Source organism: Homo sapiens, chromosome 5 (genome assembly GCF_000001405.40).
Source record: "Homo sapiens chromosome 5, GRCh38.p14 Primary Assembly".
NCBI lineage: Eukaryota > Metazoa > Chordata > Mammalia > Primates > Hominidae > Homo > Homo sapiens.
In genome coordinates this window covers 178835175-178853440 of record NC_000005.10, presented here as the reverse complement: position 1 = coordinate 178853440, position 18266 = coordinate 178835175, and the positions used below count along the sequence as shown (strand labels likewise).

Here is an 18266-nt window from a genome sequence, read left to right as displayed (position 1 = left end):
TTCTTGCTGAGAAGCAAAACTTCGGGGAAAAAAGGAACATGACATAACTTGTCAATATCAGTAATGAAACAAGGGCTATTACACAAATCAGATCCTGCAGACATCAAAAAGATAAGAGAATACTCTATAAACATAAAATTTGACAACTTCAATGAAATATGCCAGTTCCTGAGAAACAAACAAAAAAAATCCCACAGACTGCCACAAATCACTTATATGAAATAAATAATTTGAATAGTCCTATACTATTAAATAAATTGAAATCAGCCAGAAGTGGTGGACACGCCTGTAATCCCAGCACATTTGGAGGCTGAGGCAGGTGGATCACAAGTCAAGAGTTCGAGACCAGCCTGGCCAACATGACAAAACCCCGTCTCTACTAAAAATATAAAAATTAGCCAGGTGTGGTGGCAGGCGCCTGTAATCCCAGCTACTCAGGAGGCTGAGGCAGGAGAATTGCTTGAACCTGGGAGGCAGAGGTTGCAGTGAGCCGAGATTGCGCCACTGCACTCCATCCTAGGTGACAAAATGAGACGCTGTCTCCAAACAAAAAGAAAACAAATTGAAATCATAATTTTAAGACTAAAAAAAATTTTTAGGCCAGATGCATTCAGTGGAGAATTCTATCAAGTGTTTAAAGCAAAATTTACTCCAAAATTAACACAATACCTTTCAGAAAATAGAAGAGGAGTCTGCAGGAACTCACTCTGAGCTGCTGGAATGCAGTGAGTCAGGGGGTTCCTGAGTGTGGAAATGTATTTGCTCCTCTTTTCTTCTGGCAGTCTCGGAAGCTCACAAGAGTCCTGCTGCTATCAAAAGCCCCGGATGTAATGTAGTCAGACCGTCTGAATCAGAGTGTTCTGATTACATTTGTTTTTTGTTTGAGATGGAGTCTCGCTCTGTTGCCCAGGCTGGAGTGCAGTGGTGTGATCTTGGCTCACTGCAACCTCTGCCTCCTGGGTTCAAGTGATTTTCCTTTTTCAGCCAACCGAGTAGCTGGGAGTACAGGTGCCCACCACCACGACTGGCTAATTTTTGTATTTTTAGTAGAGACAGGGTTTCACCATGTTGCCCAGGCTGGCCTCAAACTCCTAACCTCAAGTGATCCGCCTGCCTCAGCCTCCCAAAGTGCTGGGTTAATAGATGTAAGAACCGATGGTGGGAAAAAGCAGAACAGGGCTGTACACAGGGTGGTCAAGAATGCTGGGACTATGCTGCTGAGATTGTTTTCTGGCTTCAGAATCTCAGATGCTGGCCTGGGTGCCCTCATGGCCCCACTCAGAATGAAACTGGTATTTCAGGCACCATTCACTGCATAGCACCCAATTCTTCAGAATCATACCTTCATGTCAAGGGAGAGTATCAGTGAGCAGACAGCGAGGGACTGTGTGTACCTTCTTAAGTCAGTTTAAACTGAATGTCATTGGCCCAAGTGTAATCCTTGATTTTTTTTTTTTTGAGATGAAATCTCACTCTGTCACCCAGGCTGGAGTGCAATGGTGCAATCTCAGGTCACTGCAACCTCCGCCTCCTGGGTTCAAGCAATTCTCCTGCCTCAGCCTCCCGAGTAGCTGGGATTACAGGTCCTGCCACAATAATCAGCTCATTTTTGTATTTTTAGTAGAGAAGGGGTTTCATTATGGTGGCCAGGCTGGTCTCAAACTCCTGACCTCAAGTGATCCTCCCACCTTGGCCTCCCAAAGTGGTGGGATTACAGGCATGAGCCACTGCACCTGGCAATCCTTGATTCTTTACATGTCACCTAAAAAGATCACATTCTCTTCATTTCCATAGTCAAATTTCAGGCCGCATTCCCAATACCCTTGAAAATTGTCATAATCAAAATGGAGTCACTGAGGTTAAGAAAATCCTGACAAATAAAGCCAACGAAGGCCATGAAGAGAAGGTTCTCACACTTTTATGCCTGAGAATGAAAAAGACTCTACAAAAACCACAACATTGCACAAAGGCCATCACAACCTTACATAAAAAAACACTTCTGCAAGTACATCTGCCCAGCAACTGCCTGTCCAAACACAGCCTGGTATCGCCCTTATTATTGATCTTTGTAGCAAAGGATAATTTTTTGTTTGTTTGTTTTGTTTTGTGAGACACAGTCTCACTCTGCCGCCAGGATGGAGTGCAGTGGTGCGATCTCAGCTCACTGCAACCTCCACCTCCCGGGTTCAAGCAATTCTTCTGCCTCAGCCTCCCAAGTATCTGGGACTACAGGTGGGTGCCACCATGTCCAGCTAATTTTTGTATTTTTAGTAGGATGGGGTTTCACCATGTTGGCCAGGATGGTCTTGATCTCTTGACCTTGTGATTCGTCCACCTCGGCATCCCAAAGTGCTGGGATTACAGGCCTCATGAGCAACCACACCCGGCCGGATAATTATTTCAAAAACAATTATGTAATCTCCTCACTTTTCCCTTAAAATCCTTTGTCTTGCTTTACCTCTCTGAATATGGATATACTTTAACTACAGTATTTCCTGTTGCAATGTCCTATTCCCTAAAAAACACTTCCTTTAGAGAGCCTCTCTCTGTTTCTTATTTAGGTTGACAACCCATGTGGCCAGGAAGCCCCCTAAATGGGCTCTGTGCTTTCCACTTTAAGATCATCCAGGCCGGGCGCAGTGGCTCGCGCCTGTAATCCCAGCACTTTGGGAGGCCAAGGCAGGCAGATCACTTGAGGTCAGGAGTTCATAACCAGCCTGGCCAACATGGTGACATTACAGGCGCACACCACCATGCCTGGCTAATTTTTGTAGTTTTAGTAGAGACGGGGTTTCACCATATTGGTCAGGCTGGTCTCGAATTCCTGACCTCTGGTGATCCGCCCACCTTGGCCCCCCAAAAAACAATCCCCTAAAGCAAGAATGTTTCCAAGTAACTTAACAGCAAAGAGCAAAACCCATCCTTTGTTAAAGGAACACATAATGCCCAGACCCCCAAAATATAAAATGCACAATGCTGGTGTTAGCCGAAGAACATGAGATCCATGGAAGAAGGAAAGAAAACTTTCTCTTCAGAGGAAGAAGCAGTTCTCAGATTGGGGAACATGGCTTCCAGGGAAACCTGAAAGGGCATGCTTGGCAGAGGGAGGGGGAAGTTGGTATCTAGGTCTTCTAGGGTTAACCTTACATACAGATTGAGCAGGGTTGGAGAAATCTATGAATATTCATGAGGGAAGCCAGGGGGATGTGCAGTGGATAAACATGTTAACATTCCATGTTTACTTTGGGATGGGGTTTTAGTATTAAAATTATGTGGACTTTGTCTCTGTATGCCAGAAGGTGAACTGTAACCAGGCGCGGTGGCTCACGCCTGTAATCCCAGCTCTTTAGGAGGCCAAAGTGGGCGGATCACTTGAGGCCATGAGTTTGAGATCAGCCTGACCAACATGGCCAAACCCCATCTCTACTAAAAATACAAAAATTAGCTGGGCATGGTGGCGGGCACCTGTAATCCCAGCTACTCGGGAGGCTGAGGCAGGAGAATCACTTGAGCCCGGGAGGCGGAGGTTGCAGTGAGCCGAGATCGCGCCACTACACTCCAGCCTGTGGGACAGAGCAAGACTCTGTTTAAAAAAAATAAAAAAGTAGTGAACTGTAGTGCACAAAGACAGTTAGTCCACAGTCTCTATAATGGCCGAAACTGCCCTGAGGTTAGGGGCTATTTACCGGTAAACAATGCTTTTTTGGCCAGTCCTCTGTCCAGTTGGAGTTGTGTTGGGACCGTCAAGGCAGGCTCAATCAGCTGGGGTCAGGCAGTTTCCTAGGGTCAGCTGGGAAATTCTCCAGCTGTAGTTGTTTCCGCAATGCTTTTCAGGAGTTGGTTTCTGCTTAATTACAGGAAAGAACCTTACGGCAATTAACGCAGAAATATGTGCCTAACTCATCCTTCTGGCCATGAGATTCTGTTTTGGGTGTGTGTCTCATTTTAACCACAGGAAGTCCACTTCATCTGTATTCGGAAATGTTTTAACACTGACATTGGGACTCAGAAGTTGAAACCTCAAATATTGGCTCTGTGACATGCTGAAAATCCTTAGAAGCAGCCTCAGAATCAAGGCCCTTCTAATCTTATTTTATTCCTCTTCCAAGAGCAGGGAGGGACACTAGAATTTAGAAAGCTCCTTTCCAAAAGAAATGCAATGGTCTTTAGACTCCCTCCGTAGGGATCTCAAAAACCAGGAAAGATTAACCACCAGAGAGAAGATGGGGAGTCAGTCACCACCACATTCAGACAGACTTTTCCTCTATTCTTCTTAGGGCAGCTCCAAGAAGTTACCTAAGAAACTTTATCTGCATAACATGACAGTCTTTGGTGTGTGAACCATTGTCACACCAATTGTGAACCAATGTTCCTGTGAACCATTGTATGAGCACTGGACCTATTCATTCCCCCATTTCTCCTTCCCCCATGACATGGACATTTAAGTCTCAACCATCTGCCCCTCTGAGTTCACATTTTGTGTGGATCCCATGGGCACGTGTGCATGTAACAAATTTACCATGCTTTTCTCTTGTTAACCAGTTTTGTGTCACCTGTGATCCTTTACAATGGCGAGGAAAGAGATCACCCCCTTTCTGGCCCTACACTGGTCTTCTACCTAAAATTACCAGGCATGCAACAAGACAGAGCTAGAATTCACCGCTAGCAGAGAGAATAAAAAAGACTCAGATTGATGCGGATGGTGGAATTAGTGAAGAAAAGCTTTAAAACAGCTATTACGGCCGGGCACAGTGGCTCACACCTGTAGTCCCAGCATTTTGGGAGGACGAGGCAGGTGGATCACGAGGTCAGGAAATCAAGACCATCCTGGCTAACACGGTGAAACCCCATCTCTACTAAAAAAAATACAAAAAATTGGCCGGCCGTGGTGGTGGGCGCCTGTAGTCCCAGCTACTTGGGAGGCTGAGGCAGGAGAATGGCGTGAACCTGGGAGGCGGAGCTTGCAGTGAGCCGAGATGGCGCCACTGTACTCCAGCCTGGGAGACAGAACGAGATTCCATCTCAAAAAAAAAAAAAAAAAAAAAAAACAGAAAAAACAGCTATTACAATTAAGACTGCCTATGGTCAAGTGTGCAGAGGAAGCAGGAGTGTAAGATCATTGATGAATATAAAAAGGACTGGAAGAGAACTGCAAAATACAGTAACTGAAAAAAAAAAAATCAAAGAAGCCACGCTATCCCATTAAAACCAGGAATTCTAAAGCAATCGCACATCAAGCACTTCAGTATATTCCTCATAGTGAAATGAGAAAAGGAAGTCACAGGTGAAGTCTCACCCATTTCCCCACATGAAGTGTAAATCCTCATGTATATAGTTTACACACATCACTAGTAAGACTAGGATAACATTTCATGTCAAACAGGATTAAAATCAAAGCAACAGTCCCCAAACAGTTGACGTTCAAACACTAGAGCCACTCCCAAACCATCTGTACAAAATAAGGCTGTTTTTAACACCAACATGCCACATTGTCCAAGAAGCATTAGACGGCCGGGCATGGTGGCTCATGCCTGTAATCTCAGCACTTTGGGATGCCAAGGCAGGCGGATCATCTGAGATCAGGAGTTCAAGACCAGCCTGGCCAACACGGTGAAACCCCGTCTCTACTAAAAATACAAAAAAATTAACTGGGCGTGGTGGTGGGGCTACTCCTCCCCAGGTCCCTCTGTGGTTGCGGGGTAGTCACTGAGTGTGCAAAAAACGCACTAAAAGAGTATTGAAAAAAAGTAAAATTTGTACTTCAATCCATCAATCCTTACTTTCCTAGGGGCCAGTGTATCAAAGTGTTGGTTGACACGTTTTATGTCAGCTTTTCAATATCTGCACAAATTCCTGCCGGCATTTTTATTGGGATTGCCTTGCACTTATAGAGCAAGTTGGGGGAAATTGACATCTTAGCAATATCAACCTTCTGATCCATAAAAAGCTGTTGGCTTAAGTATTATTTGATCTTCATCAGAGTTTTGTAGTTTTCAGCATACGGATTCTGCACATATTTTGTTAAATTTATACCTGTGTACTTTATTTTGTCTTTTTTTTGGCTATTGTAAATGGTATTTTTATAATTTAAAATTCCAGTTGTTATATAACAAAGGTCTGCAAATAGTGACCCATGAGGCAGATCTGATTCCCCACCTGCTGCTTTTCTTTGGCTAAGAATCATTTTTCACGTTATTAAACAGTTGAAAAAATCAAAAGGCTAGCATTTTTGTGACCTGAGAAAACTGAAATTCAGATCTGAGTGGCCATAAATAAAGTGTTGCTAGAACACAGACACGCTCCCTTATTATTTACGTGTTGTCTATGGGTGCTTCCCATTACAAGAGCAGAGTTAGTTGCAACAGAGATCACATGGTTTACAAAAATAAAATATTTACTATTTTGCCCTTCAGAAAAAAAAAAAAAGTTGCCGGCTGGGCACAGTGGCTCACACCTGTAATCTCAACACTTTGGGAGGCCAAGGCGGGCGGATCGCGAGGTCACGAGACCAAGACCATCCTGGCCAATATGGTAAAACTCCGTCTCTACGAAAAATACAAAAATTAGCTGGGAGTGGTGGCATGTGCCTGTAATTCCACATACTTGGGAGGCTGAGGCAGGAGAATCACTTGAACCTGGGAGGTAGAGATTGCAGTGAGCTGAGATCACGCCATTGCATTCCAGCCTGGGCAACAAGAGCAAAACTCCACCTCAAAGAAAAAGAAAAAAGAAAAAGAAAAAGAAAAAGAAAAAAGGTTGCCCATTCCAGGTATAAAGGAATATTATTTATTTAGGTATATTGACTATGTATGGTTGCTAAACTTATTCATTACAATTCCAGGAATTTTTTTCTTTTTGTAGAGTCTTTGAGATTTTTCACATAGCTGTAACAGTACTGATTCCATGGTAAAGAAAAAAATTGCTTGATTGAATATAATTAATGCTTTCCTTAAGTTTATAGACTATTCGCCAATCTTCAGGTTTGTATTATTTCTTAGAATATGATCTGTCCAGATCAATGTTCCACGTACATTTTTTTTTTTTTGAGACGGAATCTCACTGTGTCACCCAGGCTGGAATGCAGTGGCACAATCTCGGCTCACTGCAACCTCCACCTCCTGGATTCAAGCGATTCTCCTACCTCAGCCTCCTGAGTAGCTTGGACTACAGAAGTGCACCACCACGCCTGGCTAATTTTTTTTGCATTTTAGTAGAGACGAGGTTTCACCATGTTGGCCAGGTTGGTCTCAAACTCCTGATTTCAGGTGATCCACCCCATCGGCCTCCCAAAGTGCTGGGATTACAGGCATGAGCTGCCACGCCTGGCCCCATGTACATTTGAAAATAATGTGTGTCCTGCTATTTTTGGATGGAGTGTTCTAAAAATACCAGTTAAGTTGGTTGCCAAGCTCTGTTCAGGCTGCCTTTATTTTTACTGAATTCTGGCTAGTCTCTCATTCAGTTAGTGAGAGAGAATGTTGAAATGCCAGCTATAATCGTGGATTTGTCTATTTTTCTTCTCAGTTCTTTCAGGTTTTGCCTCAAGTACTTTGAAGCTCTGTGTATGAAGGTGTGTACACATTTAGGATTATTAAGTCTTCTTGGAGAATTGATCACCTTTTCACTTGTAATGGCTCTCTTTATCCCTGATTATTTTCCTTGTTCTGAAGTCTAATTTGTTGGAAGTAAATACAGTGACATTAACTTTTTGGTTGGGTTTGTATGTACAGGGGAGTAAACGATAATTCCCCCTTTACCCTTCTGGTTCCTAGCTGGGATCCCTGTAAACAAAAGACAAATTAACAAGAAAAAAACAGAAGTTTAATAACATGTATACCTCTTATATACATGGGATATCCAGGGAATGAGTAATTCTCAAAGAGGTGGTCTAGGACCCCAGCTTATTTATATAGATTCTTCTTTTTCTTTCTTTTTTTTTTTTTTTTTTGAGATAAAGTCTCTCTGTCGCCTCGCTCAAGTGATCTGCCTGCCTCAGCCTGGCCCATGGTGTGAGCCACTATGTACCATATATAGATTTTTTTTTTTTTTTTTGAGATAGGACCTTCCTCTGTTGCCCAGGCTGGTCTTGAACTCCTGGCCTCAATCGATCCTCCCGCCCTGGCCTCCTAAAGTGCTGGGATTCTTCAATCAGCTAGGCCTAGATTCTTCAACTAAAACAAAGAAAAAAGGGTGTGACGGAGGCAAGTTATGGGGCCCTAGTGGAAGATAGAGGCTGGTTAGTCAAACGTGTTATGCAAATTCCTCTGGTTCCATCTCCAGGCTGGTAAGGGTCTACAGTCATCTCCAGTGACCAACCTTTGTCCTTCTTGGTATAGAGGGGAAGGACATCTTTGTAAATTTATGTCTTGCTTTCTGGCAGATGGGGGGAGGGGAGAGAGCTTTTCTTTTACTCATTTCTTCTCAATTGCCTTCAGCTGACAATAATCCTTATGTCAAAGCAGCCTATTTTGGGGGGGCATGTTCTGCCACCCTTCGCATGGTGACTGCAACCATGAATGTAATGGCTTTTCTGAGTTCTCTGGGTCCTCGTACTGGATCACTGAACACCCTCTTACCCAGGCTGGAGTGCAATGGTGCGATCTCGGCTCACTGCAACCTCCGCCTCCCTGATTCAAGCAATTCCTCTGCCTCAGCCTCCCGAGTAGCTGGGATTACAGGCACATGCCACCATGCCCAGCTAATTTTTTGTATCTTTAGTAGAGACGGGATGTCACCATGTTGGCCAGGCTGGTTTTGAACTCCTGACCCTATATTTTATTCTAAGAGTTATATAGTTTTAAATCACTTATATTTAGGTAACTGATCTACTTTGAGTTAATTGTTGTATGTACTATTAGGTAGGGTCCTAATTTTCTTCTCTGAATATGTTTTAAGATCGGGTTGACAGGATATGATGGATTGAATGTATATGTGTGAGAGAAGGATTCAGGGATGTCTCCATGGTGTTCGAGCACTGGGAGGATGTGATTGACTGATAGGGAAGATAACGAGCTCAGTTTGAATCTTCTGAGATGAAGATCATTGCTATCAGGAGACATTTAGCTATGAGTCTGGGGTTCTGTGTAAAAGGCTGGGCTGCAGAGTAGGGAGTACTAAGTGTACAAACAGTAAGTAAAGCCATGACACAGGGTGAAGTCACTATAAAGCTGAGAGTGAGGAGGAGAAACCAAAGGAAAAAAATTAACAGTTTAAATATAAAGACTTTGAGAACTCTAGCATTAGGAAGTCACAATCTAGGGGAGAAAGAGTGACCAGTGAGGCAGGAGAGGAATCAGGAGGGTGTGATGTCTTGGAAGGCAAGTGCAGGAGTGTTTCAAAGGGAGGGAGGGATCATCTGTGCCACATGATATGGAAGGATCAACTCAGATGAGGACTGAGAATTCACCATTGGATTTAGCAACGTGGGAGCAACTGGTGTTTTAGATTAAAACTCTTGGGGACAAGGATCAGAAGTTTGATTTGAGTGTGTTCAACAGTCAGGTGGTGGAGGGATGCTGGATACACACTGAGATTTTTGTAAAAGAAAAAGAAGATATTGGGTGGTAGTTGATGAGAAAAGTGGGTAAACTGAGGCTATTTTTTAAAAAGATGGGAGTTAATGTTTGTATAATGAAGTGAAAGAATCCAGTGGGAAGTGAAAGAGCGATGGTGCAGAAGAGAGGAGACAGTTGCTGCGACGGTATCATAGAGTAGGCTAGAAAAACGAGGTCACTGAAGACTCGGAAACCTGCTTTTTTACACGTCCCACAGATGGTTTTATGTACCAGCATTTTGGAACCACTTATAAACCAAAAACAAAAGTCTAAGGCCCCTCAACCATCTTAAGACCCCTCAGCCAGGGCTCTTAAAATGTAACCTGAGAGACTGGTTCAGGCCATCTTGGGGAGTGGGAGTCAGACATGCCTCTACACCCCTCCAGCATTAACATCAACACAGACATTAAGTCTGGTAAGAAATATTTTGCAACCTATTCTCTCTGAAGCCTGCTAGCTGAAAGCTTCATCTGCATGGTAAACCTTTGGTCTCCACAACCTCTCATCTTAACCCAGACATTTCTTTCTGTTTGATCCCAGGTCTTTAGACAAACTCAACCAATTGTTAACCTCCGCCTCCTGGATTCAAGTGATTCTCCTGCCTCAGCCTCCCGAGTGGGTGGGATTACAGGCTCCTGCCAACACGCCTGGCTATTTTTTTGTATTTTTTTTTAGGAGAGAAGGAGTTTCACTATGTTGGCCAGGCTGTTCTCAAACTCCTGACCTCGTGATCCACTCACCTTGGCCTCCCAAAGTGCTGGGATTACAGGCGTGAGCCACCGCGCCCAGCCTATCCCAGGAATTTAAATATTTATTTACTCCAACCATTTTCTTACATTTCTAATTATCTTATAAATATTTACACCTATGGATTCCATATGCTTATTATTATTGTATAGATAGACACAATTTATTTTCTGAAAATTACTACTACTAGTACCAGCAGAATGTGGTAGATGCATAGATGTGCTGCCTGGACCCTCCTTGGGGAGGACTTGCTGTCCAGTTGTGGGAGTTTGTTTAGAGCCTGGCTGGCTGCTTCAGGGTATGCCTGAGCCAAAGAGAGCACCCCCAGCGTTCAGGGCCTTCCCTGGGGAGCCCCCTCAGGTGCCTGAGGCCTGGGTATAAAGATCTGGCCATCTCTTCTTGGCCCAGCCAACTCTGAGGGGGCGATGCTTGTTCTGGCATCCTGGCTGGCTGGCAGAGGTTTTGCTGAGCCTGCAACGGTTTTGACTTCTGCCCAAGCCTGTTTCTGCTTGCTTTTTTCATGGGTTTATCCCTAGTAGGGTCCCTTGTACGCCTCAGGCCCTCCACTGCCTGCTCTGGATCACCTGGCCTACGACACAGAGTGCACATATTATTTCAAACCCTCATTTTACTTAATTTACCAATATTTTGTAAAGCCATTTCAATGACAAAATAGTCGTTTTACTACTTGAATAAGGATCTTAATGTGTTTAAACAGTTGCGTATTTTCTTAATTTTGCTACGATAACGAATGTTTCTGTTTAATTCTTTTTTACTACTCCTTTTTACACTTTATACAGAATCACAAGTCTTTTTCTGGGGTTGGGGGGTGGCAGTGTACGTGTGCAGGGGTTTGGAAACTTTGTGGCTTGGCCATGGATCTCATGGCCTGAGAGCCTCCTTAGTTTCACGGATGAGATTGGCCCTTGTGGAGTTCGAGTCCAACCCAGAACAAGGAACCCTGGGTCTCCTCCAAGTGCTGCAGCAAGCTGGCCTGGGGTCCCCCAAAAGGCAACCAGAGTCACGCCCAGGATCACCCAGTCTGCAGCAGGGTGCAAAGGTTTGGGGGTCCCCCACAAAGGCAGCCAGAGCCAAGCCCAGGGTCCCCCCAGCATCAGCAAGATCTACACCTTATACTATAAGACTCTGTATATACTTTATACAGTCTTACAAATAAATTCCTACAAGTGGAATAGCTAGATCGAAGTGTATGCATTTGGAGAAAGACTTTTTTTTTTGACACATGACACATTTTGCTTGTTTACTATGTTTTCTCTCCATCAGAATGAAAGCTCATTGAGGGGAGGGACTTTGGTCTATTGTCTGTATTCCCTGGTGACTCGAATTGTACCTGTATGCAACAGACACTCAATAAATATTTTCTTTGTAGACTGGGTAGACATGAGTTAGATCTTTGATGCTTCTGAGGAGTCTGGTTTGGGCAAGAGGGTGCTAGGGAGAAACTGCTCCCTGCAATCTCCCCATTTTCATCTTTCAGTGTTGAAAAGTGGGGAGGAGGTGGATTCAGTTTGCTCGAAGACAGAGCCAGTGGGGCGCAGAGGTGCTCAGAGCAGCCTTTGGGAAAGTGTAGGGGAAGCTGGATTCCTGACTGCCAGCCTTTGGGCCTGGGTTGGACCTAGGACCCTGAGACAGGACATACAACATCTGTGGGAGTCACCTGCTAGTCGCCAGCTCACTGAGGAACCGAAGAATATACTGTTCTTGGTCTGAAGGCACTTGGAGAAGGAGAGGAAGAAGGGAGGGGGCTGAATCTCTTCTCACCCCCATCTCTGCCAGATCCCAGACCCCCCTGGGCCTCTGTCCCACACAGACCAGCCTAAAAGACGTCAAAGGCCCAGGAGCCCTGGCCAGGGTGGGGGTCACCATTTTGCAGCCATAGGTTTGGAGTGCTGACTCCAGCAGAGGCATCTGGCCAGTGGCTTGAGGTGCTGTGTCTGACATGGTTGCTGGCCATAGAGGGCCTCGGGGCCGTCCTGAGCTCAGACCTTGCCTGCTGGCTGCTGGGATGGCTGCTTCTGCAGCAGGGGCAGGGTGTCCCGCTTCTCAGTGGAGCACAGCTGCTGTGTCCTCACCAGCTTGAGCTTGGTGGGGCTTTGGATCACTTGGACAATCTCTGCCTTCCACTCGTTCTATAGGTGATGTTTCAGGTTCTTGGGCCCAGCGCTGTTTCTTCTCCTGGCAGTGCCTTTCCTTCTCCTCCTCCAGGTTAGGGGCAGAATCCTTGGCAAGCTTCCTTTCCTGCTGTTCCTTCATCTTCCACTGCCAGGATGTGTGCAGGGGCTTGTCCTGAACCATCTGGGATAACTTTTTCTTGCAGTAGTCCTTCCACATCCTCCCGCAATGTGGGCTTCCCCTTCTGGATTATAGGAAACTCCTCCTCCTCCTCCTTCGACTTCTTGGATACTGGAGCCTGGACTGAAGAACCTTTTTCCTTCTTTGCCCCATGGCCGCCTGTTACCTCTCCCCAGCTAGAGGCAGCTTGCTTGGCTCCTGCTGACCCCAGCAGGGAGCCAGGTGCCTTGGGTGTCAGCTCCCGTACTGGCCGTGACGGCTCTGAACTCGGCACCTGCTGACTGGGGTAAGGCTCTGGTGATCCTGGGCCCGGGTATAGGTGCTCATGCCACCCCCACCCCCCGAGTCAGCTCCTCTGGACTCTGGGCCCACTCGGAGGCTGGTTCTCCCTGGCCCTGAGAACACCGTGGTGCCTCCTCACTTGGCTTTGGCTGACATTGTGGGGATTTGGAGCTAGACTCTGGCTGTCTTTGAGGTGACTCCAGGTGTAGATCTTGCTGATGCTCGGGGGACCCTGGGCTTGGCTCTGGCTGCCTTTGTGGGGGACCCCCAAACCTTTGCACCCTGCTGCAGACTGGGTGATCCTGGGCTTGTCTCTGGCTACCTTTGGGGGGACCCCAGGCCAGCTTGCTGCAACACTTGGAGAAGACCCAGGCTTCCTTGTTTCTTCTGGGTTGGACTCAAACTCCACAAGGGCCAATCTCGCCCATGAAACTGAGGTGAGACTCTCACGCCATGAGATCCACGGCCAAGCCACAAAGTTTCGAAACCCCTGCACACGTACACCGCACCCCCTGCCCCACCCCAGAGAAAGACTTTTGATTCCTAGTTCCCAAAGGCTCTCAGGGACCGGGCCTGGTGGCTCATGCCTGTAACCCAGCACTTTGGGAACTCAAGGCTCGAGGATTACTTGAGGATAGGAGTTCGAGACCAACCTAAGCAACATAGTGAGACCCTGCCTCTGCAAAAAAACAAACTACCCCTCAAAAACAAAACAAAACAAACCAAGAAACCTCTCCCAGGGCCAGCACCCACTTTCCTTTCTCCTCTGGCAGTGTATGGCAGTGCCAGTTTCCGTGTGCCCCCGCCAGCCCTGAGCATTATCTATTTTTAAAACGTTTCCCTATCTGAGAGGAAAGACATTATTCCATTGCTCTAGTTTGCCCATTAGCCCTGCACACCCCCAGCCACCTCTGTGATTTGCCTGCTTGGGTACTGAATGTCACCAGCCTTAAGGTTCTCCCGTCACTGAGGCCAGCATGCACTGACCACCAGGAGGCACTGCTCCCCTGCCAATGTCCTCTGGTCGCACCTGCTCCAGGACACTCAGCAGCTGCGTTTCTGAGCCAAGGCTGCAGAGTTCCACACTGGCTTTACAATCAGTAAAGGGCATCAATACCCTGAGGCGGGGACTCAGGTTTCTAGGATGTTGTTGTCGCCTCCAGCTCGATTTCAACTATGGTCAGTTGGAGCCAGGGTGGGGAATCTGCAGCTTGCAGAGGGGACTACTGCGCCTCCTGCCTGAGGCAGGCTGGAGGGTGGAGGCGGGCTGGGGGGGTCGTTGTCCTCGCAGCGTTTAAGGCGAGTCTGGGACAGGACCCCACCACCCCCTCCAGATCTGTGGCATCCTCCAGGACTCCAGCGCAGGACGCGCTCCAGGAGCCTTGCTACTTCAGGGCCTCCAGTGGGCGCAGTCGCGGTGCCCGCCCGGCTCCTTTATCAGAAAGGGCGTCTGTGGGATGTGGAGCCGGGAGGCTCCTGGATCACGTCATCTCTTGCTCCTCACAGATATGCAAGGGAAAATGGAGGCTCCCAGGGCCCGGTTAACTCGCTCTCTTGACAAAGAACGTCCTGGACCGGACTCCAGCCAGGCCCCTCTGAGCCCCGTTCTCCACCAGGCCCCACCCAGCCTTGGCCTATGGAGACTTCAGCAAACACTAACAGTTACCAGCGCTGGAGGCCACACCCCTCAGATAACGCGGGCGCCCCTTAGTTGCCTGCCTGAGAAAACTGGATGCTGCCAAAGGGATGTAGTTTGTTCTGGCTGGCACCTGGGACAAGGCCTCTGTCTCCCGTCCCTCTGGGAGGATGACAGTTTCCAGACCGGGAGCAGCACTGGGGCCAACAGCACTCAACCAACCCTTTGCAATTTGTCACCTTCCTGACTCTACTGAGCGCCCCCCAACCCCTTCCTTATTCCCTCATTCTCCCTTTGAAACTCAAAGTCACCTCTACAAATCCAAGTTCAGTCCAGCTCAGGCTGGATTCTTCCCCAGTGCAACAGTTGGTACTGATGAAAATCTTCCCTTACCCCTGTAATTGGAGACTGATTTTGTTTCTCTTTGACATGTGGCATACTGAGTGGTAGAGTCAGGATCCAACCCACTTCTGCCTGAACAACGCCCCTCTCCCTCTTTCAGACCATCCTCCAGCTTCTACTTGATCCCCCCCTTCAACCTGTAAATCTCAGTCACCAACTAGAATTGCTAGCCACCAGCTGGAATCGCTAGCCACCAGCTGGAATCGCTAGCCACCAGCTGGAATCGCTAGCCACCAGCTGGAATCGCTAGCCACCGACTGGAATCGCTAGTCACCGACTAGAATCACTGCACCAGTTACTTAGAGCAACAACAACAACTTACTGGAAAAAGATTTATTTTTTTGTTGTATTTTGTGCTTTTTCTGCCATGTTTTGCCCAGGCTTTGTTTGCCCATCCTCTGATCCTCTATTAGGATATTAAAAAAATTAATATGCCTTTTTTGAACAGTTTTAAGTTTATAGAAAAATTGAGCTGAAAGTACAGTTTCCACATACCCTTCCCCTCACGGTTTTCTCTTTATGAACATCTTTCTAAGTATGGTACATATTCAAATTACTGAGCCAATATCAGTACATTATCATTCACCAAAGTCCATCTTTTATGTTAGGGTTTACTCCTTGGGTTGTACGTTTCATGGATTTTGACAGATGCATGATGACGTGTATCCACGATTACAGTCATACAGGATGTTTCACTACCCTAAAAATTCTTTATGCTGCCTAGTTTTGCCTTTTCCAGGATGTCATGTTTGGAGTGATTCAAGTGATTCTTCTGCCTCAGCCTCCCGAGTAGCTGGGATTACAGGCACCCACCACCATGGCCAGCTAACTTTATACATATATATGTGTGTGTGTGTGTGTGTGTGTGTTTAATATATATTTTTAGACAGAGTTTCACTTTTGTCACCCAGCTGGAGTGCAAAGGCATGATCTCGGCTGACTGTAACCTCCACCTCCCAGGTTCAAGTGATTCTCCTTCCCTAGCCTCCTGAGTAGCTGGGATTATAGGTGCTCACCACCACACCGGGCTAATTTTTGTATTTTTAGTAGAGATGGGGTTTCATCATGTTTGCCAGGCTGGTCTTGAACTCCTGACCTCAGGTGATCCACCTGCCTTGGCCTCCCAAAGTGCTGGGATTACAGGCATGAGCCACCATGCCTAGCCAACTTTTTGTATTTTTAGTAGAGATGGGGTTTCACCATGTTGCCCAGGCTGGTGTCAAACTTCTGACCTCAAGTGATCTGCCCACCTCAACCTCCCAGAGTGCTGGGACGACAGGTGTGAGCCACTTTGCCCGGCCCAGCAATTGACTCTGTCGCCCAGGCTGGAGTTCAGTGGCGTGATCTCAGCTCACTGCAACCTCCACCTCCCGGGTTCAAGCGATTCTCCTGCCTCAGCTTCCTGGGTAGCCGGCGGCCTTGCTTCTCACTGGCCACTGTAAAATGCAGTTCGGTCAGAAATATAAACTGCTCCTGACTGGTTCTATTCTTTCCACATGTTCCATATCTTTTCCTGGTCCTGTTTTTGTAGTTTCTGTTTGTTTTACTATATATGGTCATTACTAATCTTTTCTTTTTGCAATTATAACAAACTTCTGTAGGTGGTAAAGTATGCAGTAGGATGTGAGCTCAGTCTTTACTGAATAAGAAGAGGAAGGAAACATTAGCCAGGTGTGGTGGTGCACGCCTGTAATCCGTAATCTTAGCTATTTGGGAGTGGTGCCGAGATTGCACCACCGCATTCCAGCCTGGGTGACAGAGAGAGACTCCTTCTCAGAAAAAAGAAAAAAAAATATATATATATACACACACATGCACATATATATGTGTGTATATACATATACATACACACACTTATATGTATGTATATATAAATCTTCATGACCTTGGATTTTGCAATGTATTCTTAGATACCACATCCAAAGCAAGAGTAACACAAGAAAAAATAAGTTGGACTTCATCAAAATTAAAAACTTTTTTGCATCAAAGGACATTATCAAGAAAGGTAAAAGACAAGTACTACAGTCTGAAGGGTTATGTTTCTCCAAAATTGCTGAAATCTTCACCCCCAATGTGATAGTATTCAGAGGTGGTGTTTTGGGAAGGAGATTAAGTCATGATGGCTCTGCACTTACGAATGAGATTAGTTCCCTTATAGAATAGGACCCAAAGAGCTTCCTTGCCCCTTCTGCCATGCAAGGTTACAGTGAAAACACAGCCATCTATGATGGAGCAGGCCCTCCCCAGACACTGAATCTGCAAGTGCTTTGATCTTGGACTTCCCAACCTCTAGAACTGTGAGAAATAAATTCCTGTTGTTTATAAACCACCCAATCTATGGGTTTTATTATAGTAGTCCAGACAGACTAAAACAACCACCTAAGCACGAGAAAAAATATTTGTCAAGCCATGTATCTGATGATAATCTAGTATCCAGAATATACAAAGAATACTTATGACTCAAAAACTAAAAGGCAAACAACAAATTAAAAAATGGGCAAATAATTTGAATAGATATTTCTCCAAACAAGGTATACAAGCTATATATGTGTATGTGCATAAATATAAGTATATATATATATGTATATGTGTACATAGATATATGTAGTATACAGCATCACTAGTCATTACGGAAATACAAATCAAACAACAACAAGGTACTATTTCACACCTACTAGGATACAATCAAAATAAATGTAAAATAACAAGTGATAAATATGCGGAGAAACAAATCCTTTTACATTGCTAGTGAGAATGCAAAATGGTTCGGATGCTTATTCTCTTCTTTCTTTTAAGAATGTGTTCTTTACCATTCTATTCAATGGCTTACATATCTGCATATTTTCTTGGGCTGTCTACATGATATACAAATATTTGGACACAGACAGAAAAATAAATCGCTCATCTAAAAGCTTTTCAATCTGACACATAAATTTAGTTTATTTGAAAACGGAATGTTCAAGTGTTACAACTTTTACTATGGTTCACGTTTGTTAATATTTGCTAATATCCTAAAAACAAAAACAAAACCCCCAAAATAATTTGATTTTATAATGTAAACATCTGATGTCTGAATTAATCAATAAAATATTTTTTGTGTTTTAAATAATTGTATTCTATTGTATTTTGGTGCTGCGTAATTTCATAATAAATACTAGCCGATGCTCGTCAGAGGTAAACTAGTGAATTATCATCCCGTTAAGATAAACTTTGTTTCTGCTAAGAAACATCTTAATTTAAATTAGGAATTTAATGTAGGAATTTACTAAATCAAGTACTAAGATTTTATTTCTCTTACTCAATGGAGAATATATGTAAAATTCAAATACATT

At 45.2% G+C, this 18266-nt stretch overlaps 1 pseudogene, besides 1 other annotated feature; it reads right to left on the bottom strand.

The window, feature by feature from the left end:
• Nucleotides 12305-13344, bottom strand: LOC100129457 (coiled-coil domain containing 86 pseudogene; annotated as a pseudogene).
• Nucleotides 13779-14073: a silencer, noted in NCBI's record as "tiled region #5461; K562 Repressive DNase matched - State 12:CtcfO". NCBI's record gives its function as "represses a minimal TATA promoter and a strong SV40 promoter by Sharpr-MPRA in K562 cells {active_cell/tissue: K562}" and the evidence as "EXISTENCE:reporter gene assay evidence [ECO:0000049][PMID:27701403]".